The sequence below is a fragment of the Homo sapiens genome, chromosome 5 (assembly GCF_000001405.40).
Source record: "Homo sapiens chromosome 5, GRCh38.p14 Primary Assembly".
Lineage (NCBI taxonomy): Eukaryota > Metazoa > Chordata > Mammalia > Primates > Hominidae > Homo > Homo sapiens.
This window is the reverse complement of record NC_000005.10, coordinates 171,412,275-171,431,630: the sequence shown is the minus strand read 5'-3', so window position 1 is coordinate 171,431,630 and position 19,356 is coordinate 171,412,275. Positions and strand designations below refer to the sequence as shown.

The window sequence follows — 19,356 nt, the reverse complement described above, 5'->3', positions numbered from 1 at the left end:
GGCCTAGGGTCCCCTTCAGCCTAAGATCCCAACTGTCCCCAGCCCCTGCTTCCCCTGCCTTGAGGGCTTCAGTTCTGGTAGAAATCTTCACTCTACCAATGCAGCAACTACACAGAGGCAACGAGGCCCCAAGAGGCTCAAATCCCTCCCCCAAGCCTTCCAAGGTCCCCCGGCCCTGGGGACAATCATGGGGCTCAGTGGCACAGAGCCCACCCACCTTCTGCCTTCGGTCTCATCCTCTCCCGGTGCAGCTCTTAACACAAAATGTGATGCCATGTCCCTGCCCAGGCTCCCTATTACCCAGGACAACAGCCAAGTGTCATCCTTACAATTGAGCCCTGTCTACCTTGCAAGCTTCCCCTCTTAGGCACCTTGGTAAGAACCTTCCACGTGATGAAAAGAGGTTGAGGTGAGCCCCCAGCCTAGTACCAGCTTCCAGAGATCAACCAAGGTACCACCTCACACCAGAGCATCCAGCAGCCTCCATCACTCCCTCTGGCTTGAAGATTTTAGCCTCTCCAGCCCACTCATGGCTGAAAAGCATGTTTGGGATTTTCCTCTTTCTTCCTGGCCCCCATTTCCACCTTCCACAAATGTGCGTCACATCACACATCACCTATGTACACACACCACACACGCAACACTCACACAGGAACCAGCACTGGCTGACCTTAGCTGTCACCTGGCTTCACCCCCAGTCAACCCACTTATTCGACTTCTTTAGCTCTCAGTTTTCCCATCAGCAAAATGGGGACTGTTGATAATATTTATCTCAGAAAAAGATTATATTAGTAACAATCATTACTCTTTTTTCTTTTTTTTTTTTTTTTTTTTTTGAGACGGAGTCTTGCTCTGTCGCCCAGGCCGGACTACGGACTGCAGTGGCGCAATCTCGGCTCACTGCAAGCTCCGCTTCCCGGGTTCACGCCATTCTCCTGCCTCAGCCTCCCGAGTAGCTGGGACTACAGGCGCCCGCCACCGCGCCCGGCTAATTTTTTGTATTTTTAGTAGAGACGGGGTTTCACCTTGTTAGCCAGGATGGTCTCGATCTCCTGACCTCATGATCCACCCGCCTCGGCCTCCCAAAGTGCTGGGATTACAGGCGTGAGCCACCGCGCCCGGCCCTCTTTTTTCTTTAGTTTAGTTTTGTTTCTTAATCAGGCATTGTGTGTTGAGCACTTCCTCTGTGCTAGGAATCTCTTGAGGGATGTCTTCCTATGTAATGCCCAGAACAAACCCTATGAGTTGGTACAATTTTTTTTTTTTTTTTTTTGAGACACAGTCTTACTCTGTTGCCCAGGCTGGAGTGCAATGGCGTGATCTTGGCTCACTGCAATCTCCGCCACCTGGGTTCATGTGATTCTCCCGCCTCAGCCTCTGGAGTAGCTGGGATTACAGGCGCCTGCCACCGCGCCCAGTGAATTTTTATAGTTTTTAGTAGAGACGGGATTTCACCATCTTGGCCAGGCTGGTCTTGAACTCCTGACCTCATGATCCACCCGCCTCGGCCTCCCAAAGTGCTGGGATTACAGGCGTGAGCCACCGCGCTCAGCCTGGTACGATTATTATTCCCATTTTACAGAGAGGGAAACTGAGGCTCAGAGAGGTTACATCACTTGTTCTATGTCACAGAATTGGTGAGAAATCAAGATGCAAATCCAGCCCAGGCTCTCTCCTGCTTTGCCCTCGCCTGCCACTGTTCTCCCTCCTCTTCCTCACCCACCTCCTTTCTACTTTTCCAGGACGACAACTGGTTCAGGCCACAGGCCATAGTTTGGGGGTAAGGAGGTTGGAATATTGTCCACAAAAAGCTGGGGCCCTTGAGCTTTCTGCCCCCACCCAAGAGACAGGGATGCAGCCCCACGGCCTCTCCCGCCCAGGCCTCATCCTCTGATCCTTGAGGCTTCATGAAACCCATGCTCCTGTCTCCAGGCAACCTGCCCAGAAAGGGAGGGTCTCCCTGGTCCCAGGAGGGGCAGCCCCCAGACTTCCAGCCACATTCCACACCACCTGGCTCCTCCAGCAGCAGCAGCATCGGGCCAGCCAAGGCTTTCAGAGCTTCTCCAAACTCTGGATTCAAACTGGAGACCTTCACTCCTCTCCAGTGGGGGTTCCCGATAAAGTCAGCCACTCTCTCCACCTGAAAACGCAGCTCCCCTAACTCTTCCTGGACTCTGGCCCAAGGGACGCTCTCTGGATTACTGTCATTGAGAGTGAAGCTCACGTTGGCTCCCACTGGCTGGGCACTTGCCCCCATGCCAGGGCCCATGTCCGCTCCTCACACAACCTGAGCAGCTGAAACTATTACTATCCCTGTGTTCCAGGTGACAAAGGAAGACACAGAGAGGCCACGGGACTGGCCCAAATTGAACAGAAACTGAAAGAGCCACGATCTGAACCCATCTCTGGATCTGAAGCCCATGAGTTTCCCATGGATGGAAAGGGGAGGAGGAAGGCCGGGCCCACCCTGAATCTGAGTGTGGCTCTGATGGGTGCCCCCACCTCCTCAACCCCGGGCTTCTGGCCTCTTTCCTGTGACACTCCGCACACCAACTCAGCCAGGACAGACAGTGACGCCGCAAAGGGCCCTTCCCCACCCCCCAGACTGTCCATTATGCTCCCAGGGCTATCAATGTATTGATTGGCAGGGTTGAGCCATCAGCAGGGGAGGGGGGCACTGCAGGATGGGGGGTTGGGCCCGAGGGTCGGCCTCCCTCTCCCCATACATCAGCCTTCATGGTACAGATCATCAATATGGGCACCGCTGCTGCAGGCAGCCAACCCTGGAGCCGTAAAGACCCATGGCCTGTTCTCTCTCTCCCTTTCCTCTTCCCACTGATCCCTGTTTCAATTCCAGCTCCCTAAAGCCCCTGGGTAGGGAGAATGGCCATCCATGCCCATGAGGTAACAAGCCCTTTATTCCAGCATTCAAAGCCCACCACGGTCTTTTCCATCATCCCCATTCCTGGGAATGGATGCGCCAGCCACCCCAGTCAGCTTGGAGCTCTGTGAGTCCACCAGGCTGATCCCTGCTTCCAGTAGCACCGTTCCATATGCCTGCAAGGCTCTTCCATATATGCGCATAGACACATGCACGCACGCAGAGGCTCACAGTGTCCTCTTCACCCGGTTTGCTCTTATTTCAAGGTCTACGTGAAACATCTACCCAGGCCAGACCCTCTTGCCCCAGAGTCTGGTTCAAGGCCTGTCAGCAGAGTACCTGCTGCACCCTTGAGCTCTTGCTCCCCAGCACATACTCCCAGTTTCTCTCAAGTTTCCAATGGCTGGGATAGGTGCTGGCCCTCTCTGTGCCCCAGCCCCTGGCACAGATGAGTGGGTGGGGGGATTCAGTCTGGATCCCGGTCCCCAGAGAACCTCTCCCTCAAACCTCCACTCACTGACCCAACATTCCTCCAGCATGCCAGGTCTGTGCCAGGTGCCATGGTGCCTGCAGCAGGGGTCAGACCTCCCTTTGACTTCCAGGAACCCGTGGGCTGGTGGACAATCCGGCCTTGAGACACCCCAGAGTTGAATGCAGATACGCAGCTCACATTTACTTAACACTTATCATGAGCCAGGCGCTATGCCAAGTGCCTCCCCCGGGCAGGGGGAACTCACCCTTTCAGCAACCCCAGGAGGGAGGTTCTGTCCTGATGCCTACAGGAATGATAAGCCACAGAGAGGCCAGTCAATCACTCGGTCACACGGCCAACTGAAGCGTGCTGGGCCCAGAACCCACCCATCCCTGTGAGCCCCGCAGAGCGCCCTGGATCAAAGACAGTGGCCAAGCGCTATGCGATTCCAAGGCAGAAGGTGGGATGGGGATCGGGGGAAACAGAGCTTCTCGAAGTACGTGCCATCTCTTCATGGGGAACACTTGGAAGGAAAAGCCTTGGATACCTTCTTCATTCCCCTCAAAACCAGTCCAGGGCCAGGTATGCAGCAAGCGTCCCATAAATGTTTGTGGATTGTTGATGACGAGCAACACTATATTTGAGTGCCTACTACATAGCTAGTCATCAATTACTCCTACCAACAGGCCAGGGGAGTGGGATGAGCATCCTTATTTTGCCCATGGGGAGGAAGTGGAGACTCAGAGAGGTTAAGGGCCTCGCCCAAGGCCACACAGTCTTGAGTGGTAGAGTGGCAATTAAATCCAGACCTAAGTCCAAAGCCTGTGCTCCCAACTCAGACTGGAGGAGGCCTGATGTCACTGATCCAAGGAACACGTCCTTTCTAGCTTTCCCTAGCACCCCACAGCATGTTACGTACCTAACACAGACAATATAATTGATTGAACAATTACTTTTACTAAATTACTCATCGAGTGTTTTGCCATTGTGCTAGCTACTCTGTGTGCAATATCCCACTTAGTTCTCACAATAACCCTTAAGAAGTAGGTATTTCTCTTTTTTTTTTTTTTTCCCAGATGGAGCGTCGCTCTTGCCCAGGCTGGAGTGCAGTGGCGTGATCTTGGCTCACCGCAACCTCCGTCTCCCAGGTTCAAGCGATTCTCCTGTCTCAGCTTTCTGAGTAGCTGGGATCACAGGCACCCACTATGCCCGGCTAATTTTTTCTATTTTTAGTAGGGGCGGGGTTTCACCATGTTGGCCAGGCTGGTCTCAAACTCCTGACCTCAAGTGATCTGCCTGTATCGGCCTCCCAAAGTGCTGGGATTATAGGCGTGAGCCACCACGCCCGGCCAGAAGTAGGTATTTCTCATGATCCCATTTTACAGATGGGGAAACTGAGGTGCAGAAAATTGAAGGTTAAGGAATATTTGCAGAGCAGCTGCCAAGAAGCACAGCCAGGATTCAACCTAGGTTTCCCCTACGCCAAAGCCTATGCATTCAAGCATCACAGAAGCCACTGACCTCGCCTCACTGATACCCAGGCGGGTAAATCAAAGCTCAGAGAGAGAGGTCAGTGAGCCCAGGACAGAGCCAGGATTGGAACCCAGGTATTCAGGGATTCCACTCTGTGGCCCACAGGGGGCTTGTCTTTGGCCCCATCCTTGGCACAACAGCATTTTGAATGGCCTGAGGCCTTTTGCCACTGAGACGTCAGAGCAAACACACTGCTAGCAAGCCGGACCAAAGCCCACGGGGCCTCCTGACCTGCTGCAGTTTCAGAATAAATCCCCATGCTCAGGCCCACAGTGCTGACAGCAGGCCCAAGCCCCTTCTAAGGCCAGCCCTCCCCTCCATGCACTGCCATGGGGTCTTATGAGTTAGAGAAGAGCCAACACAGCAAAAGCTAGGAGCATACAGAGGTTCCTCAGAGCAGCCCTTACCCACAGAAAGGAGAAATCAACACCTCCCCTCCCACAGTGACGACAAGGCAGCAGCCCTGGGGAAGGACTCTATATCTGATGGGGGCGGGCAGGGGGCAAGGGAACCCTCCTAGAGTAAGAGGCATAGGAGCAGGGTCTGGACTACAAACAAGAGTTTGGGTGATGCACTGTCCCTCCACAACTACCTGAGGCAGTAGGGATGATTTCTTTGGTTGTTTTTTCCCATTGTACACATGCAGAAGCTGAGACCCAGGGGAGTTAAGTAACTTGCCCGAGGTCACACAGCAAAGAGAAAGCAGAGCCACACTCCAGAGCCCTCATACAAGTAAGCTTGAGTCCTAGAGCCGGACAGACACAGAGCTGAATCCAGCTCTGCCTCTCTCTTGCTATGTGACCAAACGCAGGTTACTTTATGCACCGGTGCCTCTCTTGTTCTTCCTCTGTAGAATTCCCTAGTTCCAGGCTGGTTGTGAGGCTTGACCTGGATAATGTGCAAAAGCACATGGCTGGCCAGGCGCAGTGGCTCATGCCAGTAATCCCAGCACTTTGGGAGGCCGAGGCAAGCAGATCACGAGGTCAGGAGACCGAGACCATCCTAGCAAACACAGTGAAACCCCATCTCTACTAAAAATACAAAAAATTAGCCGGGCATGGTGGCTCGTGCCTGTAGTCCCAGCTACTCGGGAGGCTGAAGCAGGAGAATGGCGTGAACCCGGCAGGCAGAGCTTACAGTGAACCGAGATCACGCCACTGCACTCCAGCCTGGGCAACAGGGCGAGACTCCATCTCAAAAAAAAAAAAAAAAAAAGCACATGGCGGCCAGGTGCAGTGGCTCATGCCAGTAATCCCAGCACTTTGGGAGTCCGAGGCGGGTGGATCACCTGAGGTCAGGAGTTCAAGACCAGCCTGGCCAACATGGTGAAACTCCATCTCTACTAAAAATACAAAAATTACCCAGACATGGTGGCATGCAGGCTGAGGCAGGAGGACTGCTTGAACCTGGGAGGCAGAGGTTGCAGTTAGCCGAGATCGCACCATTGCACTCCAGCCTGGGCAACAGAGTGAGACTCCAACTCAACAACAGTAACAAAAAAAGCACTTGGCATGTAGTGAGTGCACTATACCTGGTGGTCACTATGAATATTGTTGTTGTTTTTGATGGCTTGATGTGACTGCACCCCAATTTTCCACACCCACAAGTCTCCTGCTAGAGGACTAGGTCAGAACCAAAAGGCCCTGCAGAAAATGGAAGTCTCTTCCCATTACCCCTCTAGTCTCCCTTTGGGGGTCCAGTGCGTCCTTGGAGCTGCCCAGGGCAGGGTGGAGGCTGCATCTGTGACCGATGGGCTGCCCCAAGCCTGCTGACACTGGCCGTGCCAACCACAAGAAATTCTAAAAATCCACCTCCTTATCTCAGAGCGGGTGACACTCCCAAGCTTCAGGAATGCTGATGGGGAGCCCCGCCCCCTCCCCTCCCCCTCCCCCTTCCCCCTCTGCTGGGGATAGGCTGGAAGAGGAGTGCTGAATCCTCTGGGCCCCAGCCCCCAAGTACCCCCCTCTAACTCTGGGACCCTCTCAGATCAACACATTCCAGGAGGATCAGGACCTGCAGACTCCAAGTCAGACACCCTCAAGCCCAGAGACGCCTACCTGGGCTCTCAACATCCCCCTTATACCAGAATCCAAAGAGAATCTCACTGCAGATCCCTAGCATGTCTCTAAGGACTCCATGGGCCCACCAATATTCTTCTGAATAATTTCAGGATTCTTTGAGAAGAAGGTCCATCTGCTATGGTAGAAAGAATACAAGATCTTGAATCCAGCATCTTGGGTCTGAACAAATCCCTTCCTCATTCTGTGCCTCGGTTTCTCCATCTGTGAAACAGAATTATTACCCTCTCTTGGCCTCCCTGTAGAATGGTTGAAAGAAGTGAACCAGCTTCCCAATGTAAGGGACACTTTAGAATTTCTACAAGTACCATCTTTTTCCTTCATGCAAATCACTGCTCCTGGGACTCAGTTTCTTCCCCTGCTAAACGGGAGGAAGATGTATGTGCCTGCCTCACTCCACTTCACAGTGCTGGGAGAGGAGGGGGCAGAATAGACAAGGCTCTGTTCATCTGGCACTTTCTCCCTTTAAACTGGGAGCTCTTGGAGGCCAGGGACTGACTAGACCTTATTCCCAAGGCAGCAAGAAGCAGGCTCCCAGCAAGTATGTGCTGAATGAATACCTGACTGTGGATGGATGGATGATGTTGCTTTAGGAAATTAAAAGGCCAGGTGGATGGCTCACACCTGTAATCCCAGCACTTTGGGAGGCCAAGGCAGGCAGATCACCTGAGGTCAGGAGTTCGAGACCAGCCTGGCCAACATGGTGAAACCCTGTCTCTACTAAAAATACAAAAATTAGCCCAGCATGGTGGTGTGTACCTGTAATCCCAGCTACTTGGGAGGCTGAGGAGAGTGACTTGAACCCAGGAGACAGAGGTTGCAGTTAGCCAAGATCACGCCACTGCACTCCAGCCTGGGTGACAGAGCACAAAAAAAAAAAAAAAAAAAAAAAAGTGCCATCCACTAACAGAGCATCCCATCCTCTTTTTGCACCAAAGGACACTGTCTCCAGCTTCCCCATCCTAACCAGCTTAAAGAAAGGGTCTAAACCTCACTGAGGAGGCTGGGTGTGGGGGTGGTCAGGCCGAGAGGGGGCGTGGAAGGAAACTTCCAAACTTGAACACTTCTTGTGGTGAGAGAGGAAGTGGCGCTGCAGGAGGGACAAGGGGCTAAGGGGCTGGCAGGAGGGACAAGAGGCCAGGGGATGCCCCCCCACCCCGCCGAGCCTGGCCCGCCTCATGCCTGGTCTGTCTGGGGAAGGCCAGGACCTAGCCGAGCCTGGCGGCAGGAACAATGTCAGGCAGGTGCCGGCCGAGCTGCGTGAAAGGCCCAGCCCGGTGTCATTGTCAGAGCTCAGCCAAGTGCAGAAAAGCAATTTACTGGTCACGCCGTTTGCTCCCCACGGAAATTTTTAAAATTCTTCCAATTTGAGCTATCTACGGTGTCCTGAGTCGTGTGGAGAAGGGATGAAGGGATTTTATTAAATTCCCAGCTTCCCACTTCCCAGGGTGGCCAGCGGGTGAGGGCGGGCTCACCACTTTGGGGGTGGGCAGGACAGTGTCTGGCACTGAATGTGCTCATGGAAACGTAGCTGGGGGCAGGGACCCATTCTGAGCCCGGTAGCGATGGACAGGAAGAAAGGAGGGGCCCAGAAACTCCACCGCTAAGACTGGACCAGTCCTGGAAAACACTGCGAGGGGAGGGAAGGGCGTAGGCGCATCCATTTCCCAGCAGCCACAATGTGCCTTCCTGGGTGGATGAGAACTGGCAAAACTACCCCACCCCCCATCATATACCAGTTCAACTCCATGACCAACCATTTCATAAATGATGCAGCTAAGACTCTGGGGATCCACAGAGAGGGAAAGATGGAGCTGGAGCTGGGGTTCAGGCCTAGGCCACTGGATTGCAAAGCCCTGAGCCCTTCCTGCCATGTAGAGAGGCCTCCCTGGCCCCGGCTCACCCTAAAGGAGCTTGAACTGCTACCCGCTAAGTGCAGCCTACCCAAACCTCAGCAGGGAGCAGGCCCCAGATTCCTGGCAGTTAACATCATTTGGCTCCTACCCCTCATTTCAACCATTAAGGCCACCCCACCTTTGCCCCTGTAGTGTGAATGGGGACATAAGCCTGACAACCTTGCCCATAACTCCCAGGATAACATTTCTTTATCTTTAGGGGTCATAGATGTTTTGAAACTCTGTGGGGAGCAGGCAACCCTCTTCCAGACACAGCACATTTGAGCACCATTTTTGTGCAGTGTTTCAGGGACCTCCCCCTCCCACAATCCCATCCTTTGACACTCCAAGGGTACATGGACCATGGGTTAAAAACATCAGTCTTATGGCACTTTGGATGCAGAAAGGCCGGTGGGGACAAGGGGGAAGGTGGAGGTGGTGGGGAGAGGAGGATCCCTCACCTGCTTGAAGGCTGCCTCTTGACCTAACCAGGGCAGACCACCCAGCTCTTTCCCAAGATGCTGGCTCTAGCTCTGGCCAGGAGGTGGAGGTGGGATGCAGAGTCCACACTCCCTCCCTCCAGCTCCCACGGAGAACACAAAGACCACACAGCAGCCCCTCCTGGGCCCTACTTCAAGAAGAACCAACAGCAGCAGGCATCCAGAGGCTTGAGCCACACATCCGCAGGCCTCCCTGCTACTCCTTGCCCATTTCATCCCTCCTGCCCCCAGGCACAGCACTCTGGAAAAGAGCTCTTGCCCAGGTCAGACAAGCAGACCCCCTGGAGTGACCCCAGGGCCTGCCCTCTGCTTGGGGACTCAGCTGCAGACCAGGCAGGCCATGCCTGGCACTGGCCTCCCTCTTTGACACCAGCCGTTCCCCACCCCCACCCCCATCACCACACAGGTCACATCTGCTTTGGCAAACAGCCAGTCTTAAGTTACTGACTCCAGTTATATTGATTCAAGGAGTCACTGGGGACCCCAGCCTGGCCAACAGGAGGAAAGAACCCATCAGTCCGTCCACCCTTCCATCCCCAAGCCCCAATGGATGCCCCCAGCTCAGTGCCTATCAGGAGGGTAACAACCCTCTCCTGGGCGTGGAAGGAAGATAGCAGGCCCACCACCGCCAAACACTGCGAGTGGCTGTTGAGTCGCGCAGTGCTCAAGGCACACAACACTCCTTGAGCCAGAAAACCGGGAGAACCACCAATTTCCTGTGCTCAAGGCTAGCTCTGGGGATCTCCACAATCCAGAAGGCTAAGGTCTAAGAATCTTCTCTAATCCCGGAAAGCCACCTGCCTTCCACCGAGGGGGAAGGGTCAGACAACCCTCTTTTGACCTGTGTCCAGTTCCTCCTGGCCTGGCCCCTTGCAGCACTAGGTGGGTGGGGGCTTGGGGAGCTGACGCTTCCTATTCCCTTTGCCCGCCGCCCCCCGACCCCCACCATGCAGAGGCAGCCCTGGTCTGGTTCTAATCGGGGCTGAAGTCGGCTCCCTTTTTCGCTCTTCTCTCTCCCTCCCCCCAACCCTTTTTCCTTCATTTCTACGGCTTTGGAAGCCAGAGCGTTCCAACTGTCTGCGTGCCAAGACCTTCCCGAGTCTGAAAGCTGCTGAAGTAACAGATCAGATTTTAGCAAGTGCTTTCCAGGCCGAGCGCCAAGCCCTCTTCTGATTCACGGAGAGCGAGCGAACCGGGAGCAGGCGGGGAACCAACGAGGGCTGCACCACCTTAGGCGAGGGAGTGCGGAGCGCGGCCCATCCGGGAGCGGCCTCGCGGGCAGCGGCCACTCGGCCTAGGCGCCCTCGAGCTTCCCCTCGTCCCGGGCATGTGTGTGTGTCTGTGTGTGTGTCTCAGTGCTGCAAGCGCCTTCAAAACCACAGAGTAATTTACAACTGAAGCTTTCTCCCTGGACTCGAAATCCACTCGGCTGAAAGTCTTTTTGTTTGGAAGCGGCGATGTTAAGGGAAGGTTGGCAGAGAAAATCCCTAGGTCCTACCCCTCGCTGGCTGCGGGCAGGGGTCTTAGAGCTGGGTATATTGTTGCGGCTGAGCCCGCCGGCTCTGCGGGATCTCCTCCCAGCCGAGGCCGACAGTGGCCGCGACAGCCAGCGCCTCCTCGGGCCCCGCGGCAGAGCCCCTTGCCCTTGGCCGGTTCCCCGCCGGCGCAGGGCGCACGCGGAGCCGCCCTTCCGCGCCCTGGGAACAGGTGCACTGGGCTCAGCGCCCAGGAGGGGTGGGGCACAGGGAGGGGGCGCGGCCGGGGAAGGGGGGTCGGCGTGTACCGCGAGGCAGGGGCGGGAGGAGGTCAAAGTCAGGAGCCCACGTACCTGTACCTGGAAGCACAGCAGCAGGAAGTGTAAACACCTGCGGGAAACAGATGGAGAAGCGGTCAGTGGGACCTGAGGAAGGGGGCGCACGGACAGACAGACACGCAGTCGAAGAGTCAGGTGAACCGACGGGCGGGCAGACAGAGGTACAGGGCACAGGCATACGGACAGACAGCCAGGCAAGGTGGGCAGCCCCGCGCGCGGGCGCTTACAGGCAAGTGCAGGCGGAGGGCGCTGAATACATCGCTGGGCGGGAGGGAGGCGGCGGCTCCTAGCCCAGCCTGCACATGTCCGCTCCGCGCGGCCGGGACCGGGCGCCTCCGCCGCCGCCGCCGCCGCCGCCGCCGCTGCTGCTGCTCCCTCCTCGCCGGCTGCTGCTGCTGCAGACTCTGCTGCTCCGGGGCGCTCCGCGGCGCGCCCTGCGGCATCAGCGCCCCGCGCGGCTCCTCCCGAGCGCTGCGCCCTCCGGGCTGGCGCAGGGGCTGCGGGGCGGCAGCCGCTGTGCAGGAGGCGCCTGGCCGGTGCGGGGAAGCTCGCTCACTGCTGGCCGGCCGGCCGTCCGGGCGTCCGTGGGAGGCTGGCTGCCCGGCTCAGTCCGGGGACAGCATGCGCGGCGGGTCTGGAAGCCGAGTTGCGCTCTCCGGCCCGGGCGCGGAGCTGCGTGGGGCCAGGGGTCAGCGCTCCGGGGTCGGGGCGCGCGGCTGCAGCGCGAAAGCGTCACGGCCGCTCCGTCTGGGCGCCCGCCGGCTCATGTCTCCTCCTCCGCGTCTCTCCGGCCGTGCGCATCGCCGCCTCCCACCACTGGCGGCGGCCGGGGCGTTTTCTACGCGCGGGCGGCGAGGGGGCGGGGGGCCGGGGGCGGGCCCGGGCCCGAGCCGGCACAATGAGGATGCGGGGCCTGGGGGCTCCCCCCTCGGGGCGCGGCCGGACGGGCGCTCAGCTCGCCTGGGTGCGCCCAGCCCACATCAAAGGCGGCCCTGCCTGCTCGCCTGCCTGCCGCGGCCTCTCGCTGCCTCCTCCTCCTTCTCCTGGCGGCTCGGGGTTGGAGGGGAGGCGCTCAGACTCTCGGAGACGGGACCGGCAGCTCCAAAGGGGCAGGACCCGCGAGACTGAAGCTGGTGAGCGCTGGAAGCCGTCGGAGCTCTGCGCCCGAGCGCAGTGACCGCTCCTCCGCGCAAACGTTGCCCAAATTGGGCAGGCGATGCTCCCCAAGAACGCAGTTAGGTACGGAACGTCCTCACCTGCCCACATTCGCTACTCGCACTCACTCACCAGCGCTCTAGTGGAGAGCCGAGAGGGGCGGGTCAAACCCAGCCCCGGGGCGGCTCCACTGAATGGGGGTCGCTTTTACCCGCCCTGCGATCGTGGAGTTTCCCAGCCACCCTCTTGACTGGCTACCCACTTAAGTGAGCCCCCGTCCTCTTCTTACGTCCCTGCCGCTGCGAAGGGGGCTCCCGGGCATCTCTCCTTCCCACCCCTCGCCCCCTCCGGGGCTCTGGGGTCGGTTCACGGGATCCCAGCTGGACTCTCCCGTAGGCGAGCCAGCTTTGGAAACACACGGCTACCACCAAGCGGCCCCGAGACGTCACTGCAACCCCAGCACGGACGGCTGCACGCCGGGGAGCAGCCAGCAGGACTCTGGTCAGCGACCACGCTGAGGCCCTCTTCCGGCCTCCTCCCAAAACCGGACTAAGACTTGCCTCCGTTTGCATACTAGGCAGCTTCGTTCCTTTAACCAGGGCCCCATTCAGGACACTGGTTCTTACCGCCTCTGCCCCTTCCAGAGGCATAACTCCTGTCCTTCCCACCAACCCCAAAACGTAGGTGTTCTTGTCACGTACCTGCCTCACTGTCTAGAGCTGGTGTCAGCCAAGCTCTGCTTGAGCCTGATGCTAAGGAAAATAGGTCACAGTGAGAAAGACGCTGGAGGACAGGCTCAAGCAAAACTCAGGAATCTGGACTATTTGGTTAAAGCCTCCTTGCGTTGGCAATGGTTGATGGTCCACTGGAGCATAAACTGAGGTAGGACTGTCGAACAGTGCTATTTGCTGAAGCCATGACTATAAAACATTAGTAATTGTTCCAAATATCAGGCCTCCTTGCAAGCTATTTTAAGTTCCCTTTCAAAGCTGAGGCTATTTTAAACAGATAGCCTCTGTTTCAACATCGGACACAAGTGCAGAAAACCTTTTCAAAACCAGGTGCTGAGGGGGAAAATTCCTGCATGAAGCTTTTAAGCTGAATTTACTTAGACATTCTGATTGCCAGAGCTGGACTTGCAGAGTTACTCGTAACTTCCCAAGTTCTGGAGAAAATGAATCGATCCCAAGATAGGATGCAATGACCAACCATAAATAGAAATGGACAGAAATGCTCCCACCGATGACCCGAGTCATTGCCGCCGTCTTTGATCTTGCTTTATAGGAAGATTGACAAACCCAGTCGAGGAGTTTTTGGCTTACCATCTGCTAGTTTGAAGTATCTCCTGGCTAAGAATCATGCTTCCAATTTTCTATATTGTTACTATTTTTTATTACTTGTGAATGGAATGGGTATATAATTATTTATACCCTATCTAAAATGCTTGCAGTATTTTTCAATGCTCAAAGTATATTTGCCAATCTCACCTACCAAACAAATCAGACTGACCAAAAAGTCCAGCCAAGAGAACAGTTCTGAGTAAGAGCATAAACTCAGGAGTCAGAAGTACTGCATTTGAATACTGCCACCAACATTTACTTATAAATTCCAGCAAGCAACGGTTTGAGATTCTGCTTCCTCCTCTACAAAATATGGCTAAGAACAGTAACAACTCTCACAGAGTTGTGAGTACTCAATGAGTGTCTGGCACACAATGAAAACTCCAAACGTTTTAGCTGCTAACTAATAATCCTAATTATTATTCAGGTTACTTTCAGGTTATTTTCACATTTCTTTCTGAACAATTTCATGAAGTAGGGAGGCAGGATCATTTCCAATTTACAGTTGAAGAGGCATCTAGTCAGAATGTCTTTTGACTCCAAATCCATTTTATACTACACATTCTTTTCCCCACCACTCACACCCTCTAGTTTCATGCACCTATTTACCAACATGACCTATTTACCATATGCCTGAATCTTAAATGGGTTCTATCTGGATTTGGCATGTTCATACAACACTTAATATATACCACTATTTTAGTAGTCACTTCTTACTAATTCAATCACAATTTATTGAGATCCTACAGTGTCGAGCCCTCACTGAAAGACAGGCAAGGTCCCTGCACTAAAAAAGCACTTCGTTTCCACTAGGGAAGATGGGCAATAAGCAAATACACCAAGAGATAAATGCTGGCTTGTTACCAGTGTTTTGAGAGAAACCAGTGGGATAGAGAAGCCAGAAGACCTCTTGGTAACATTAAGGCCAAGACCCAAAGACAGTAGATAGCCATGCAAAGGAATATTCCAGGTAAAAGATGCAAAGTGCCTCCAGTGGAAAAAGGCTAGGCGACTGGCAGGGTTAGCCAGGGAGAGTGTGGCAAGAGATGAGGGTGAAAACAGGCAATGTGCTTGACCAGGCCTTCACAGGAAATTAAGTAGCCATCAATGGCTTAAGGGTACCAGTTTTGCAATGCATCAGTTTTAAGTGTACAGTTCAGTTCTGACAAATGTATCTAGGTACAAACACCACCTCTTCTCAGGCAATCTTCCGGCCCCCAATTGCTCGTCCCAAGCAATCATTTATCTGGCACTGGTTTATTTTCGATTTCACATAAATGGAACCACCTATTATGTGCTTGTGTCTGGCTGAGCATGTTTGAGATTGATCCATTGTTGCATTTTGCAGTAGTCAATTTTCATCGTGGGATAGTACTTAATAGTATAGATATGCCACAATTTGTCAATTAAGGGCTTTGAAACAGTCAAAATTCAGTTTGTTAAAAAAGCTTTACCCTGGCTAAGAATGAAGTGGAATGCTGTTACACCATTCCACTTCATTCTTAGTAGCTGGAGTAAGGAGGATGCTAAGCTAGCTGTTACCAGTCCAGGTAAGGGTACCGTAGCTTGGGCTACGCAGCCATGTGCTATTTTGGGGGTCGGAATCAGACACACCTGCATTAAATTCCCAGCTCTAAGCTAATAAACTCAGGCAATTTTCTGAGGGGAGTTAAGAATATATGTTGACAAGTAACACAATGAAATGTAAGCCCTGCAGAGCATCTCGCTGCCTTGCCTACTAACCCTACGCACCTAGAACTTTCGTCTGAAACAGAGTATATATTTAAATCCCTTTGTTCAAGTGTGCAAGTAAACTGAGTACTGCAGTCTTTCCACTTGTTTCCCACTTCTTCCCAGTCTTGACTGAGAAGACTCCTAAGATTCAGGGAATCTGTGGAATACAAATATTGTGGAGACAAAGATGGAAAACATCCAGCCTAAGAACACAGGACAGGACAGGCGCGGTGGCTCAAGTCTGTAATCCCGGCACTTCGGGAGGCCGAGGTGGGCGGATCACGAGGTCAGGAGTTCGAGACAAGCCTAACCAACACAATGAAACCCTGTCTCTACTAAAAATACAAAAATTAGTCAGGTGTGGTGGCACGTGTCTGTAATCCCAGCTACTCAGGAGGCTGAGACAGGCGAATCGCTTGAACCCGGGAGGCAGAGGTTGCACTGAGCCGAGATCATGCCACTGCACTCCAGCCTAGGGGACAGAGTGAGACTGTCTCAAAAAAAAAAAAAAAAAAAGGACAAACAGCCTCAAGCAGCACTATCAGGTAATAAGAAAAGTAGACCCTTAGCACAAATGAGGCTCTAAGCTTTCTCAAAGCCAGCTCCTAGAAGGCGCACAGCATTAAAACTTGGGACCTCTACTGCCAAGTCCATGAGTCAGGGAGTAACTGGCTTTTCATTAAGGAACTGGCTGGAAAGTAGCCTCAGACTTTCTCAAATAACTTTAACCCTGTATTTCCAGAGTCCAGGCCACCTTTAATAGGCTCAGTATATACTTGTTAACTCTCAACTTTTTTTTTTTTTTGGACAATTTCCAAGAAAAGACCCACGCCCTATACAATGCTCATCTCTCCTTGCTCATTAAGCTAGTACTGCCAAGAGCTACACAGCGGGTCATGGTGGCTCATGCCTGTAATCCCAGCCCTTTGGGAAGCTGAGGTGAATGGATCACTTGACGTCAGGAGTTTGAGACCAGCCTGGCCAATATGGTGAAACCCTATCTCTATAAAAAATACAAAAATTAGCCGAGTGTGGTGGCATGCGCCTGTAGTCCCAGCTACTCGGGAGGCTGAGGTGGGAGAATCGCTGGAACCCGGGAGGTGGAGGTTGCAGTGAGCCAAGATCACACCACTGCACTCCAGCCTGGGCAACAGAGTGAGACCATCTCAAAAAAAAAAAAAAAATGTTATCCGTTAAGAAAAAAAAAAAAAGCTGGCCAGGCGCAGTGGCTCACACCTGTAATCCCAGCACTTTGGAAGGCCGAGGCGGGCAGATCACCTGAGGTCAGGAGTTCGAGATCAGCCTGGCCAATATGGTGAGACCCCATCTCTACTAAAAATATAAAAATTAGCCAGGCGTGGTGGCACGTGCCTGTAATTCCAACTACTTGGGAAGCTGAGGCAGAAGGTTACTCACTGTAACCGGAGAGGCGGAGGTTACAGTGAGCCAAAACTGCACCACTGCACTCCAGCCTGGGCAACAGAGCGAGACTCTGTCTCAAAAAACAGAACAAAAATAAAAGATACATAACGATGGTTCGGTTAGCAAGAGACCACCTGTACGATGGGCCCAGACTATAAGGGAGCTGACCACTGTAGCAATTTTAACAGCAGAGTACGATGCATTACTCATGTTCATGATGCTGGTGTAAAGAAACCTGTACATGCAATTATGTACAGCACATACTTGATATTATGAAAATCAATGTTACTGATTTACATATTTATTGCACTTTTTATCAGTGTGATCCTTTAAAAAAAAAGCCTCAGGCAGTTATATGGCAATGTTATAAATGACAGCATCGTCTTATTGCCCCTGAAGACCTTCCAGTGAGACAATATATGATGGATAAGTGACATGATGATCCTGACCCTATGGTAGGCCTAGGCCTAGTTAACAGAAAAGTTGAAAAAAACTTAATAGAAGTGTACAGAATAAGAATGTATTTTTGAGGCTGGGAACGGTGGCTCACGCCTATAATCCCAGCACTACCCAGCGGGTAGATCACCTGAGGTCAGTAGTTCAAGACCAGCCTAGCCAACATGATGAAACCCCTACAAAAATACAAAAAAAAAAAAAAAAAAATAGCCAGGCATGATGGTGGGTGCCTGTAATCCCAGCTACTTGGGAAGCTGAGGCGGGAGAATTGCTTGAACCCAGGAGGCAGAGGTTGCAGTGAGCCAAGATCACAGCATTGCACTCCAGCCCGGGAAAAAGAGAGAGAGAAAAAGTAAGTGTATTTTTGTAGTTTTTTAAGTATTATGAGTCAAAGTTTTAAAAGTTTTACAAAGTTCAGTAAGCTTACATTAATGAAGAAAAACATTTTTATATTTAACATAATTATACTGTGTTTATAGTTTACAGTAGTGTGATGTCCTAGGCTTTTCATTCTCAGCAACTTCCACTTCTGCAAGCTGTATTCATTCCAGTGCCCTACACAGGTATGCCCTTTTCTTTGGTATCTTATTTTTACTGTACCTCTTCTGTTTAGAGACACAAATACTCACTATTGAGGTACAAGTGCCTATAGTATTCAGTACAAATATACTGTACAGGTTTGCAGCCTTGGAGGCGTGGGCTGTACCCTACAGCTTAGGTGTATGGTATAGGCTACACCACCTAAATTCATGTAAGTACACTCTGATATTCACATGATAAAATCGCCTAATGGTGTTTCTCAGCATGTATCCCCATCATTAAGTAATCTGTGACTACATATTAAGTCAAAATCACGTATTTTCTGCAGTGATACACCACTATAAACCTATTATTCTGTATTAGCATATTTTTAAGCTCATCTGCTTTCCCTGCATGGCCTTACTTTTTACTACTGTAACCTATTTTACCTGTTCTCTGGTTGAAACTGAGGGCAGCTCTGTAGTTACATTGACTGTTGACTTATGAAAAGCTTGTCAGCCAACCTGTGCATGGATGCCCTCCTCAGCACTTAGAATTGTTCATTCCCTTGTTTTTCCAAAGGGTCTGGTCTGATCTAATCAACTGGCTAACCTAGAACCCAGTATTAACAAGCAATGTTCCCACCCAGACAGTGGTCTACAAATACCATTATTTCTAAGGGAGCCAAGGTTCTTTGGGGGAAATGGCCCCTCCAGGTCTGAGGAAGAAAATGAGCAAGATGAAACACCCCGTCACACAAGAAATCGAAGAGTGATCAGATTATTGAGACCTGCTATGGTAGGAGCAAGCTTGAAGGGGATTCCCTTGGTCAAAAAGAAAATATCAGCACCAAAAAAACACAGTGGGTTGATATACATACAAATACATGAAAATCTGAATTAAGGATAAATTCACTGATTCCTTTTCACAGGCTGCTAGGTATCAATCCATCACTCTAAAAATTGGCCAAAAAAAAAATCACATTAATATCATTTCCAGCCAGATGTGATGGCTCACACCTGTAATCCTAGCACTTTAGGAAGCTGAGGTGGGAGATCACTTGAGCCCAAGAGTCCAAGACCAGTCTGGGCAACATGGCAAAACCACCGTCTTGACAAAAAAGTTAGTTGGGCATGGTGGCACCAAAAAAAAAAAAAAAAAAGTACTTTCCAGTGAGGCAATCAACATACCATCCTCTCTTGAGTCTTCATTAAAATAAAGGTATAGAAAAACATGGACAGATATGGATAGAGGATAGAGGATACTGAATTAATGAAGGAAACCACAACCCACAGTAAACAATTAGAACACATATATGACACCCAGAAACTGGTTATGAGACAAGATAGTACTGTACCCAAACTTTTCTCCACTCTCCAAAGTGGAGAACTATCCTAGAAGTGAGAAGGGTTAACATCTACAGATCCGATTCAAAATACAACTATCAGCCTAGTTAACAAATGCCAACCTGCTAAATGAAACAGGCTACTAGAAAGTTAAAGGCAAAAACACATAGGATGAAAACCTGTCTGGGCACACTGGCTCACGCCTAATGCCA

At 52.2% G+C, this 19,356-nt stretch overlaps 1 protein-coding gene across 1 annotated transcript in view, besides 4 other annotated features; it reads right to left on the bottom strand.

Moving 5' to 3' along the window:
- The window catches only part of FGF18 (fibroblast growth factor 18), a 37,980-nt gene extending 25,996 nt beyond the window's left edge, over positions 1-11,984 (bottom strand). The window contains exons 1-2 of the mRNA NM_003862.3: positions 11,400-11,984; positions 11,188-11,224 (exon numbers count right to left, since the gene is read on the bottom strand). Coding sequence (NP_003853.1) covers positions 11,188-11,224; positions 11,400-11,431 — 69 coding nt within the window. The 5' untranslated portion in view covers positions 11,432-11,984. The remainder of the gene's footprint in view (positions 1-11,187; positions 11,225-11,399) is intronic.
- Positions 11,478-11,557: a silencer, noted in NCBI's record as "silent region_16612". NCBI's record gives its function as "represses an Ori minimal core promoter by ATAC-STARR-seq in GM12878 lymphoblastoid cells {active_cell/tissue: GM12878}" and the evidence as "EXISTENCE:reporter gene assay evidence [ECO:0000049][PMID:35858748]".
- Positions 11,618-11,667: a silencer, noted in NCBI's record as "silent region_16611". NCBI's record gives its function as "represses an Ori minimal core promoter by ATAC-STARR-seq in GM12878 lymphoblastoid cells {active_cell/tissue: GM12878}" and the evidence as "EXISTENCE:reporter gene assay evidence [ECO:0000049][PMID:35858748]".
- Positions 11,808-11,917: a silencer, noted in NCBI's record as "silent region_16610". NCBI's record gives its function as "represses an Ori minimal core promoter by ATAC-STARR-seq in GM12878 lymphoblastoid cells {active_cell/tissue: GM12878}" and the evidence as "EXISTENCE:reporter gene assay evidence [ECO:0000049][PMID:35858748]".
- Positions 12,038-12,147: a silencer, noted in NCBI's record as "silent region_16609". NCBI's record gives its function as "represses an Ori minimal core promoter by ATAC-STARR-seq in GM12878 lymphoblastoid cells {active_cell/tissue: GM12878}" and the evidence as "EXISTENCE:reporter gene assay evidence [ECO:0000049][PMID:35858748]".